The 12,647-nt window shown below is 53.9% G+C and overlaps 1 protein-coding gene across 8 annotated transcripts, besides 1 other annotated feature; it reads left to right on the top strand.

Moving 5' to 3' along the window:
- Positions 1,754-2,299: an enhancer, noted in NCBI's record as "H3K4me1 hESC enhancer chr19:4301847-4302392 (GRCh37/hg19 assembly coordinates)". NCBI's record gives its function as "activates a minimal SCP1, AML or CMV promoter by ChIP-STARR-seq in naive H9 embryonic stem cells {active_cell/tissue: H9 hESC(naive)}" and the evidence as "EXISTENCE:reporter gene assay evidence [ECO:0000049][PMID:30033119]".
- On the top strand, positions 1,760-11,922 carry TMIGD2 (transmembrane and immunoglobulin domain containing 2). Of its 8 annotated transcripts, none has more exons than NR_172630.1 (6): positions 1,760-1,809; positions 5,804-6,163; positions 9,333-9,374; positions 9,469-9,570; positions 9,728-9,845; positions 11,264-11,922. NR_172630.1 is itself a non-coding variant. In NM_001169126.2 (5 exons), exons 1-5 carry the CDS (start codon positions 1,764-1,766, stop codon positions 11,548-11,550), a joined length of 837 nt encoding a protein of 278 aa, NP_001162597.1. In that variant the 5' UTR covers positions 1,760-1,763; the 3' UTR covers positions 11,551-11,922. The 8 variants fall into 8 exon arrangements, 5 of the variants coding, with proteins under 5 accessions (NP_001162597.1, NP_653216.2, XP_047294123.1 ...); NR_172632.1 differs by having other exon boundaries at positions 9,728-9,863; NR_172631.1 differs by lacking the exon at positions 5,804-6,163 and having other exon boundaries at positions 9,728-9,881.
- The last annotated feature ends 725 nt before the right edge of the window (positions 11,923-12,647 follow it).

The raw sequence follows: 12,647 nt of genomic DNA, 5'->3' as shown, positions 1-12,647 counted from the left end.
TGGAAGGACCTGGGGGCTAATCTATCCAGGGTCCCTCAGCAGACGGTGGGGGGAAGGGTGGAGCTTCAGAATGTTCTGGGGAGGGGAAGGAGTGGGTAGGGGAGGCTGGGCGGGTGTACGTGTCTGCAGGGGAGGTGCAGGCATAGCCACCGCAGAACCTCCCTGTGGTGGAGGGGAACGCTGTGTACGATGCAGGCCTTCTAGGTCCGAGTGAGAAAGGAGGTCACTCTGCAGTTGGGTCTGAGACATTGAGGTCTGTGGGTTCGCCACCTCCTCCCAGAATGCACTACAGAATCAGGGGTGAGGGATGCAGGGCTGGGAGGAACTCGAGAGCCCATGAACCTCCTCCACGGGACCCCCAAGCAGGTCATGTAATAGGACCCAAAGTTATCAACAGAAATCTATTTCTCTGAACCTCAAAGGAAGATTTTTTAAATTATTATTATTATTTTTTTTTAGAGACGGACTCACTCTGTTGCCCAGGCTGGAGTAACGGGGCGCAATCATGGCTTACTGCAGCCTCCAACTCCTGGGCTCAAGCGGTTCTCCTGCCTCAGCCTCCCGAGTGGCTGGGACTATAGGCATGCACCATCACCCTGGGTTGGTTTTGTATCTTTTTTTTTTTTTTTGAGACACAGTCTCACTCTGTCGCCCAGGCTGGAGTGCAGTGGCAGGATCTCGGCTCCCTGTAATCTCCATCTCCCCAGTTCTGGCGATTCTCCTGCCTCAACCCCACTGAGTAGCTGGGACTACAGGCGCCCACCACTAGGCCCAGCTAATTTTTGTATTTTTAGTAGAGACCGGGTTTTGCCATGTTGGCTAGGCTGGTCTTGAACTCCTGACCTCAGGTGATCCACCCGCCTTGGCCTCCCAAAGTGCTGGGATTACAGGCCTGGGCCACCATGCCCAGCCTGTATCTTTTTTTTTTTTTTTTTTTTTTTAATAGAGATTGGATCTCGCTGTGTTACCCCAGGTTGATCTTAAACTCGGCTCAAGTGATCCTCCCACCTCAGCCTCACAAAGTGCTGGGATTACAGGTGTGAGCTACAGCGCCCAGCAAAAGAAAGACATTTTGGGAGCAAAATAATTGAGGCAGGGACCCTGTCATTTAACTCACTGCTCAGGCCTATGTCGCCTGCCCCTCCCCCACGGAGCCACCTGCTCTCGCACTGTGTCTTCCTGTACCTAGATGTGTTTATGTAGAGCCTTCCAGAAAGCTCACAGGGGTGGATTCCTCCCACTCACTTGCATACACTGCCTTTCTTTTCTTTTTTTCTGAGACGGAGTTTCACTCTTGTCGCCCAGGCTGGAGTGCAGTGGCGTGATCTTGGCTCACTGCAACCTCCGCCTCCCGGGTTTAAGCCATTCTCCTGCCTCAGCCTCCCAAGTAGCTGGGATTATAGGCGCCCATCACCATGTCCAGCTAATTTCTGTATTTTTAGTAGAAATTAGTAGGGGTTTCATCATGTTGGCCAAGCTGGTCTCGAACTCCTGACCTCAGGTGATCCACCTGCCTCGGCCTCCCAAAGTGCTGGGATTACAGACATGAGCCATGTTGCCTGGTCCGTACACTGCCTTTCAGATAGAAAATGCATTGGGGAAACTGAGGCACGAGGTGGCAGGAAGTGGAGCCCCCAGCAGGCTGGAACACCGGACGTCTGTTGTCTGGCCCTGGGTGTTGCATCTGCTTCTGCAGCGGGAGGCGGAGATTGTGGCAGGAAGTCTGTCAACTGGGAGGGGGAGAGGGGGGTGATGGGCCAGGAATGGGGTCCCCGGGCATGGTGCTGGGCCTCCTGGTGCAGATCTGGGGTGAGTATCTGGGCCTCCCTCCCCTCTGAACCCCACTCTTGCTGTCATCCCCAGCTGCCTGCCCCCCAGCTCAGGGCCCCTCTAAACTTCAGTCTCTCTACTGTCAGATAAGGCCCATCTCCCTCCGAGACTCAGAACGTGATGGGGGCTGGAGGATTAAGGAAGGATCCTCTGAGGGCCCCTAGGATACAATCTAAACCTTGCCCTACATACCAGCCTGGCCTGGCCTCTCTCATCTCCACCCTCCGCAGTGCCTTTGCTCCCTCCCTCTTGCTCTAGCCTGGGGACTTTTCTTTCTCTGTTTCCGCAATGGGAAGGCTGGATCTGGCCTTCGAGCCTTTGCACCTGCTGTTCCAGCTGCCTAATACCCTTCTCCAGATCTCATGTCTCTACCCTCCTCTGCAATTGCATCTCAAATGCCAGGAACTTCACATAACCTCAACTTCTCCGGGGGTCTAACAGACACGTCAGACTTCTCACAGCTAAAAGCAGACTTTCTACTCCGGCAGCAGCTCCCTCTGTGTTTCCAATTAAGGACAAAGGCTGCTGCCCTTCACACATTTCCTGGGGCGAAAACCTCCATTCCTCTTTCCCTCTCCTCTGATTCCAGCCGCTTGCACTTTTTTGTTGTTCATTTGTGTTTTTTTGTTTGTTTGTTTTGTTTTGTTTTGAGAAGGAGTCTTGCTCTGTCACCCAGGCTAGAGTGCAGTGACGCGATCTCGGTTGACTGCAACCTCTGCCTCCCAGGTTCAAGAGATTCTCCTGCCTCAGGCTCCCGAGTAGCTGGGACTGCAGGCGCGCGCCACTGCGCCTGGCTAATTTTTTTTGTATTTTTAGTAGAGACGGGGTTTCGCCATCTCGGCCAGGTGGGTCTCGAACTCCTGACCTCATGATCCACCCACCTTGGCCTCCCAAAGTGCTGGGATTACAGGCGTGAGCCACCGTGCCCAGTCATTTTTGTTTTTTAGAGATGGGTCTCACTATGTTGCCCAGGCTGGTCTTGAACTCCTGGCCTCAAGCAATCACCCAGTCTTGGCCACCCAAAGGGCTGGGATAACAGGCATGAGCCACCACACCCAACCAAGGTCTTTTTATTAAAACTTAAATTGGAGACTGAGGCAGGTGGATCACTTGAGGTCAGGAGTTCCAGACCAGCCTGGCCATGTTGGTGAAACCCCATCTCTACCAAAAATACAAAAATTAGCTGGGCGTGGTAGCGAGTGCCTGTAGTCCCAGCTACTCAAGAGGCTGAGCCACAAGAATCACTTGAACCTGGGAGGCAGAGGTTGCAATGAGCCGAGATCACACCACTGCACTCCCACCTGGGCAACAGAGTGAGACCCCATCTCAAAACAAAAACAAAAACAAAAACAAAAACTTCAATTGGACTATTTCTTCCCTGCTTTCTGATTTTCCATCACACTTACATTAAAACATAAACTGCTTAACTTCCTTCACCTCCCCACACCACCCCAAGGCTCACAGGCCCTGCCCAACCCTTCCTCCCTCTCTCCCTGTCCTCACTCTGCTCCAGCCACACGGGCCTCCTCGCTGTTCCTCCAACACGCCAGGCACAGTCCTGCCCCAGGGCCTTTGCATGGGCTGTGCACTGCCTGGAATGCTCTTACCCCCCAATACCTTCCTTCTCACACTGGTTATACCTTTCCATTAAGATCCCTGGTCAGGCTGAGCACAGTGGCATGTACTTGTAACACCAGTAATTTGGGAGGCTGAGGTGGGAGGATCACATGAGCCCAGGAATGTTTTGTTTTGTTTTTTATTTTGAGACACAGTCTCGCTCTGTCGCCAGGCTGGAGTGCAGTGGCGCGATCTCAGCTCACTGCAACCTCCGCCTCCCGGGTTCAAGTGATTCTCCCGCCTCAGCCTCCCGAGTAGCTGGGACTACGGGTACATGCCACCACACCCAGCTAATTTTTGTATTTTTAGTAGAGACGGGGTTTCACCATGTTGGGCAGGATGGTCTTGATCTCCTGACCTCGTGATCCGCCCGCCTCTGCCTCCCAAAGTGCTGGGATTATAGGCGTGAGCCACTGCACCCGGCCTTGTTTTGTTTTGTTTGAGACAGAGCCTCGCTCTGTCACCCAGGCTGGAGTGCAGTGGCACGATCTCAGGTCACTGCAACCTCCACCTCCCGGGTTCAAGCGATTCTCCTGCCTCAGCCTCCCAAGTAGCTGGGATTACAGGCACCCGCCACCATGCCCAGCTAATTTTTGTAGTTTAAGTAGAGACAGGGTTTCACCATGTTGGCCAGGCTGGTCTTGAACTCCTGACCTCAGGTGATCCACCCGCCTCGGCCTCCCAAAGTGCTGGGATTACAGGCGTGAGCCACTGCACCCGGCCCATGAACCCAGGAGGTTGATCCTGCAGTGAGCTATGAAGGTGCCACTGCACTCCAGACTGGGCAATAGAATGAGATGGAGTCTTTTTTTCTTTGCTATGGAGTCTCGCTCTGTTGCCCAAGCTAGAGTGCAGTGGCAGGGTCTCAGCTCACTGCAACCTCTGCCTCTCGGATTCAAGTGATTCTCCTGCCTCAGCCTCCCATGTAGCTGGGATTCCAGGAGCCCGCCACCACACTGGCTAATTTTTGTATTTTTAGTAGAGATGGAGTTTCACCACGTTGGCCAGACGGGTCTCGAACTCCTGACCTCAGGTGATCCACCGGCCTTGACTTCCCAAAGTACAGGGATTACAGGCATGAGTCACAGCACCCAGCCCATGAGCCCAAGCGGCTGAGGCTGCAATGAACTTTGATGGTGCCACTGCGCTCCAGACTGGGCAACAGAGTGAGATGGAGTCTTTTTTTCTTATATATGGAGTCTCACTCTGTTGCCCAGGCTAGAGTGCAGTGGCGTGGTCTTAAGAAAAAAAAAAAGGCCGGTCACAGTGGCTCACATCTACAATCCCAGCACTTTGGGAGGCGTTAGCGGGGAGGATCACTTGAGCCCAGGAATTCAACACCAGCCTGGGCAACACAGTGAGACCCCAATCTCTACAAAACCAAAAAAATTAGCCAGGCATAGTGGTTACATGCCTGTAGTCCCAGCTACTTGGGAGGCTGAGGTAGGAGGATTACTTTAGCCCAGGAGTTCAGGGCTGCCGTGAGCTGTGATGGTGCCACTGCACTCCAGCCTGGACTATAGAGCCAGACCCCAACTCAAAAAAAATTAAAAAAATAAAAAATCACCACCTCAAGGAGGCCTTCCCTGATTACTCTCAAGGAATAGATGCTCCCTGACCTCACTGGTGTCTGCTGAGGCCACTGCCATTCCTTTCCCCCACTGCAGTTCTCATTTCACGACTTCCTGTGTCTCTCTTGCCCTAGATTGTCAGCTTCTGAAGGGCAGGGATTTTCATCTGTTTTGGTCATGCCTGTGTCTGTGTTCCCCACACCCAGCATAGGGCCTGGCATATACTAGGCGGTATTTGTGTAGCTGAGTACTGGAGACTATCTCAGAATTCCACAAGCTCTGAGCGACTTATACCCATCTTACAGATGGGGTTGTTGAGCCTCAGCAAGACATGACCTTCCAAAGGTCATACAGACAGTGAGGTTCTTTGGTTTTTTTTTTATGTTAAATTTTTAGAGACAGGGTGTTGCTTTGTCACCCAGGCTGGAGTGCAGTGGTGCAATCATAGCTCACCGCAGCCTCGAACGCCTGGGCTCAAGCGATCCCTTCACTTAGTCTCTTAAATAGCTGGGCCCACGGTGCACGCCACCATACCCAGCTACTTTTTAAATATTTATTGTAGAGATGAGGTCTTGCTATGTTCCCAGGCTGGTCTGGAACTCCTGGGCTCAAGCAATCCTCCCACCTCGGGCTTCCAAAGTGCTGGGACTACAGGCGTGAGCCACTGCACCCGTCTTAGACAAGTGAGGTTTCAAACCCAGACTGCGGGCTCACTAGGGGAGTGAGTCACACAGCCTCACATGCGCACAGTCAGAAAGGTCGCCTCTACCTCTTCTGTCCTCCAGCCCTGCAAGAAGCCTCAAGCCTGAGCGTGCAGCAGGGGCCCAACTTGCTGCAGGTGAGGCAGGGCAGTCAGGCGACCCTGGTCTGCCAGGTGGACCAGGCCACAGCCTGGGAACGGCTCCGTGTTAAGTGGACAAAGGATGGGGCCATCCTGTGTCAACCGTACATCACCAACGGCAGCCTCAGCCTGGGGGTCTGCGGGCCCCAGGGACGGCTCTCCTGGCAGGCACCCAGCCATCTCACCCTGCAGCTGGACCCTGTGAGCCTCAACCACAGCGGGGCGTACGTGTGCTGGGCGGCCGTAGAGATTCCTGAGTTGGAGGAGGCTGAGGGCAACATAACAAGGCTCTTTGTGGACCCAGGTACGGGAGCCAGCGGGGAGAGGGAGGGGCAGTGGGGAGGATCCTAGAATCTTAAGACTTTTGAGTCTTAAACTCCTAGAAACAAAAAACTCTAAATTCTTCATATCAAACTTTTTTTTTTTTTTTTAAGAGACAGAGTCTTGCTCTGTCGTCCAGGCCTTGGAGTGCAGGGGCGCGATCTCGGCTCACTGCAACCTCCGCCTCCTAGGTTCAAGCGATTCTCCCGCCTCAGCCTCCCAAGTAGCTGGGATTACAGGCACGTGCCAGCACGCCCAGCTAATTTTTGTATTTTTAGTAGAGACGAGGTTTCACCATGTTGGCCAGGATAGTCTCGATCTCTTGACCTCGTGATCTGCCTGCCTCAGCCTCCCAAAGTACTGGGATTACAGGCCTGAGCCACCATGCCCGGCCCATAATCCAAGAATTTTAGGATACAAAATTGAAAGTCATCAGCCAGGCATAGTGGCTGATGCTTGTAATCCCAGCATTTTGGGAGGCTAAGGCAAGAGGATCACCTGAGCCCAGGAGCTGGAGGCTGCAGTGAGCTATGAGTGCACCACTGCACTCCAGCCTGGGCGACAGAGCGAGACCCTGTCTCTAAATAAAATAAAGCCATCAGCTGGGCGCGGTAGCTCATCCCTGTAATCCTAGCACTTTGGAAGGCCAAGGTGGGTGGATCACCTGAGGTCAGGGGTTCGAGACCAGCCTGGCCAACATGATGAAAACCCCCTCTCTACTAAAAATACAAAAAGTAGCTGGGCATGGTGGTGTGAGCCTGTAATTCCAGCTACTCAGGAGGCTGAGGCAGGAGAATCCGGGAGGGGGAGGTTGCAGTGAGCTCAGATTGTACCACTGCACTCCAGCCTGGGCTACAGAGCAAGACTCTGTCTCAAAAAAAAAAAAAAAAAAAAGCCACAGACTCTCAAAGTTGGAAGAAACCCTCCAGATAGCTTTCCAGGTCAGCAACGCCAGCTGCCTCACTTTACAGATGAGCCAGGTGAACCAGAGAGGGCCAAGACATATCTAGCGTTATGCACCAGGCAGGGGTGCACCCTATGCACTGTCCCCTTTGCCATGTCCCCCACTTATGGACCCATCCTGGGCAGAATCGGGAAACCCAAGGGGATGCAGGCTTTGCCTCCTGCTCTGTGAGAGGTGCCTGTGGGCCCCGGGCCTCTGTCCAGCCCCCTCTGGCAGAATGAAGCACCCAGCTCTCAGCCCCTAGAGATGCCTGTTCCTCTCCAGCTGGTAGGACCAGCCTGCTGGCGGGGGACACGTGCCTGCCTCAAGGGAGGGGTGTGTTATGGCTGTGTTACCCACCTCTTCCCACCCCTCTGATGTCAAAGGGGCCAATTAGCAATTAGAGGAGGCGGGGTGGTGGAGGCGCCAGGCTGTGCGTTGGCAGCTGTGAGAGAGCAGGGAGTGGGCGCGGGTCCAACCCCACACAGCTGGCTTCCCCACACCCCACCAATCCTGAACAGCAGCTTGGCAGTCCCCAGGGATCCCCTGCCAACCTCAGAGGCTGCAAAAGAAGGGGGTTGGGGTGCTGGACCTTATCTTAATTGCGGCATTCACAGCCTTTAGCTGGGGTTCCTGTAAATTATACAACCTGGATTCAATCCTCTGTTTCATTTACTTGCTGTGTGACCTTGAGCAAGTGACTTGACCTCTCTGTGCCAGTTCCCTCTGCTGTCAAAATACAGTGAATAGTTTTTCCTCATCAGGTCGGGTGACTTTAGAGCAGTTATAGCCAAAGTGCTTGCTATAATCCAAGTGCAGTGGCTCACGCCTGATATCCCAGCACTTTGGGAGGCCAAGGTGGGAGGATTGTTTGAGGCCAGGAGGTCGAGACCAGCTTGGCCAACACAGCAAGACCTCATCTCTACAAGAAATTCTAAAATTAGCCAGGCATGGTGGCATATACCCATAGTCCCAGCTACTTGAGAGGTTGAGGCGGGAGGATCACTTGAGCCCAGGAGTTGGAGACTGCAGTGAGCTACGATCACGCCACTGCACTCCAGCCTGGGTGACACAGAGCGACCCTGTCTCCAGAAAAACAAACAACAACAACAAAACAATGCTTAGCACAGGGCCTGAGACATAGTAAGTTCTCAAGGAACTTCAGTGTTAGGATCTCCGAGCTGAGGTGAGACAGGGCTTTGTCCAAAGCTGGTTCCTGCTGCCGCCTGGGTAGGGGACCCTAGGCAAGTGACTTAGGCTCTCTGAGCCTCGGTTTCCCCGTCTATAAAATGGGCGTGGCATGGAGTAGAGGCTCAAACAAAAACAAAAACAACCAAACAGGATCTGGAGAGTGATAGATCCCAGGATAAAGATGGCGGGGCTCATGATGACAAATCCCAGTTGGCAGTTTTTCCACAATGACCCAACAAGACAGGGACGATGAGCCTCATTTTTCTTTTTTTTTTTCGAGACAGTCTCGCTCTGTCGCCCAGGCTGGAGTGCAGTGGCTCGATCTTGGCTCACTGCAAGCTCCGCCTCCCGGGTTCACACCATTCTCCTGCCTCAGCCTCCCGAGTAGCTGGGACTACAGGTGCCCACCACCATGGCCGGCTAATTTTTTGTATTTTTAGTAGAGACGGGGTTTCACTGTGTTAGCCAGGATGGTCTCGATCGCCTGACCTTGTGATCCGCCTACCTCGGTCTCCCAAAGTGCTAAGATTACAGGTGTGAGCCACTGCGCCTGGCCTTCTTTTTTTTTTTTTTTGAGGCAGAGTCTTGCTCTGTCACCCAGGCTGGAGCGTAGTGACACGATCTCGGCTCACTGCAACCTCCCCCTCCTGGATTCAAGCGATTCTCCTGCCTCAGCCTCCTGAGTAGTTGGGATTAAAGGCGCCACCACCATGCCTGGCTAATTTTTATATTTTTTTGTAGAGATGGGGTTTCACCATGTTGGCCAGGCTGGTCTCGAACTCCTGACCTCGAGTGATCCTCCTGCCTCAGCCTCCCAGAGTGCTCGGATTACAGGCCTGAGCCACCGCGTCCTGCTGAGCCTCATTTTTCAGAAGAAGAAACAGAGGTTCAGAGTGAACACTTGCCCAAATCCACAAAGCCTGGCAGGAGGAGGAACACTTAGGTCCCCCCAAGTGAGCTCTGTCCTTGGAGGGTGGAGAAGCCTGGCACCCCCGTGACATAGATTTCTTCTCTGCAGATGACCCCACACAGAACAGAAACCGGATCGCAAGCTTCCCAGGTGAGCCCTGCCCTGTGTTCCTCCCCCAGCGTCTTCCACCCGCATCACCACCCCTTCCCCTCCTGATTAGACCATCTCTTCTCCCCCTACCCAGGATTCCTCTTCGTGCTGCTGGGGGTGGGAAGCATGGGTGTGGCTGCGATCGTGTGGGGTGCCTGGTTCTGGGGCCGCCGCAGCTGCCAGCAAAGGGACTCAGGTAACAGCCCAGGTAAGGGAGGGTAGGGCGGAGGAGGTGGGAACTGCAGCTGCTTGACAAAGACCCACTGCATCTGTGCTCCCGCCTGGGGGAAGGATGGAGGAGGGATGAAGGGAGGAGAAGCCTGGCTCCTATATCCTATGCTCATGTTTTTCAGAAATAGAGACAAAGCCCCTAGCCTGTGCAACCTAGCAAGATCCCATCTCTACAAAAAAATTACAAATTGCTGGGCGCGGTGGCTCATGCCTGTCATCCCAGCATTTTGGGAGGCCGAGGTGGGCGAATCACCTGAGGTCAGCCTGGACAATATGGTGAAACCTTGTATCTACTAAAAATACAAAAAATTAGCTAGGTGTGGTGGCAGACGCCTGTAATACCAGCTACTTGGGAGGCTGAGGCAGGAGGATCGCTTGAACCCGGGAGGCAGAGGTTGCAGTGAGCCAAGATCGCGCCACTGAACTCTAGCCTGGGTGACAGAGCAAGACGCGGTCTCAAAAAAAAAAAAATTTAAAAATTAGGCTGTGCATGGTGTCTCATGCCTGTCATCCCAGCACTTTGGGAGGCTGAGGCGGGTGGATCACTTGAGGTCAGGAGTTTGAGACCAGCCTGGGCGACATGGTGAAACCCAGTCTCTACTAAAAATACAAACATTACCCAGGCGTGGTGGCCTGTGCCTGTAGTCCCAGCTGCTTGGGAGGTTGAGGCAGGAGAATCACTGGAACCCAGGAGGCAGAGATTGCAGTGAGCCCAGACTGCCTCACTACACTCCAGCCTGGGCGACACAGCCAGACTCCATCTCAACAACAACAAAAAAATTAGCCTGGCTTGGTGGCACACGCCTGTGGTCCCAGCTACTTGGGAGGCTGAGGTGTGAGGATTGCTTGAACCTGGGAGGCGGAGGCTGCAGTGAGCTATAGTTTCCCCACTGTACTCCAGCCTGGGTGACAGAGAGAGACCCTGTCTCAAAAAACAAACAAACAAACAAAAAGACAGTTTGAAATTAAAAAAAAAAAAAAATTGGCCGGGTGCAGTGGCTCATGCATGTAATCCCAGCATTTTGGGAGGCCACGGCGGGCGAATCACGAGGCCAGGAGTTCGAGACCAGCCTGGCCAACGTGGTGAAACCCCATCTCTGCTAAAAATACAAAAAATTAGCCAGACGTAGTAGCGGGGGCTTGTAATCCCAGCTACTAGGGAGACTGAGGCAGGAGAATCACTTGAACCTGGGAGGTGGAGACTGCAGTGAGCTGAGATCGCACCGCTGCTACACTCCAGCCCAGGTGACAGAGTAAGACTGTCTCAAAAAAAAAAAAAAAAAGGCCGGGCGCGGTGGCTCACGCCTGTAATCCCAGCACTTTGGGAGGCCGAGGCGGGTGGATCACGAGGTCAGGAGATCAAGACCATCCTGGCTAACAGTGAAACCCCGTCTCTACTAAAAATACAAAAAATCAGCCAGGCATGGTGGCGGGAGCCTGTAGTCCCAGCTAGTTGGGAGGCTGAGGCAGGAGAATGGCGTGAACCCAGGAGGCGAAGCTTGCAGTGAGCCGAGATTGCGCCACTGCACTCCAGCCTGGGCGACAGAGTGAGACTCCGTCTCACAGAAAAAAAAAAAAAGAGACAGATCCCCCAGAGGTCAGCTGGAGAGGGCAGGACTCTCTTAAGTGATCCTCTTGGTCTGTGTCATCCATCCTAGGAAATGCATTCTACAGCAACGTCCTATACCGGCCCCGGGGGGCCCCAAAGAAGAGTGAGGACTGCTCTGGAGAGGGGAAGGACCAGAGGGGCCAGAGCATTTATTCAACCTCCTTCCCGCAACCGGCCCCCCGCCAGCCGCACCTGGCGTCAAGACCCTGCCCCAGCCCGAGACCCTGCCCCAGCCCCAGGCCCGGCCACCCCGTCTCTATGGTCAGGGTCTCTCCTAGACCAAGCCCCACCCAGCAGCCGAGGCCAAAAGGGTTCCCCAAAGTGGGAGAGGAGTGAGAGATCCCAGGAGACCTCAACAGGACCCCACCCATAGGTACACACAAAAAAGGGGGGATCGAGGCCAGACACGGTGGCTCACGCCTGTAATCCCAGCAGTTTGGGAAGCCGAGGCGGGTGGAACACTTGAGGTCAGGGGTTTGAGACCAGCCTGGCTTGAACCTGGGAGGCGGAGGTTGCAGTGAGCCGAGATTGCGCCACTGCACTCCAGCCTGGGCGACAGAGTGAGACTCCGTCTCAAAAAAAACAAAAAGCAGGAGGATTGGGAGCCTGTCAGCCCCATCCTGAGACCCCGTCCTCATTTCTGTAATGATGGATCTCGCTCCCACTTTCCCCCAAGAACCTAATAAAGGCTTGTGAAGAAAAAGCAAAGCTGGTGTTTGTGGCGATTTGGGAGTGCTAAAAAGATCTGAAGAAATCGGGTGCGGTGGCTCACGCCTCTAATCCCAGCACTTTGGGAGGCTGCGGTGGAAGGATCACTTGAAGCCAAGAGTTTGAGACCAGCCTGGGCAATAGAGCAAGAAGACTCCATTTCTACAGAAAATTTAAAAACAAGGCCAGACGCGGTGGCTTGCGCCTGTAATCCCAACACTTTGGGAGGCCGAGGTGGGCGGATCACCTGAGGTCAGGAGTTCGAGACCAGCCTGGCCAACATGGTGAAACTCCGTCTCTACGAAAAATACAAAATTTAGCCGGGCGTGATGGTGCAGCTGATGTCTCTGGTCTCAGATATTTGGGAGGCTGAGAGGGGAGGACCACTTCAGCCCTGGAGGTTGAGGTTGCAGTGAGCTCTAATTATGTCACTGCCCTCCAGCCTAGGTGGTAGAGTGAGACCCTGTCACATACACGCACCAAAAAGACTTAAGGGGTCATCTGGGGTCCCAGAGCTCTCAGGGGTGGCTGGAGAGGCCCACTGTGGCCAAGGGACTTTGTGGCAACTCAAAGCCCCCCTCCCACCTTATAGGGACAAATCCAAGGAGGAAGAAGTGGTACTCTGGCTTCCAAACAGTCCCCTGCCATGGAAGACCCCCCCCGCAGCTGGCATCACTCCCAGGCAGGCCTGGAGGTGGGGAGAAGAAGGGGAGGTCAGGAGATTC

This window comes from Homo sapiens, chromosome 19 (assembly GCF_000001405.40).
Source record: "Homo sapiens chromosome 19, GRCh38.p14 Primary Assembly".
Taxonomy (NCBI): domain Eukaryota; kingdom Metazoa; phylum Chordata; class Mammalia; order Primates; family Hominidae; genus Homo; species Homo sapiens.
Note: the sequence above shows the minus strand (reverse complement) of the source record. Positions and strands in the feature narration are given on the sequence as shown.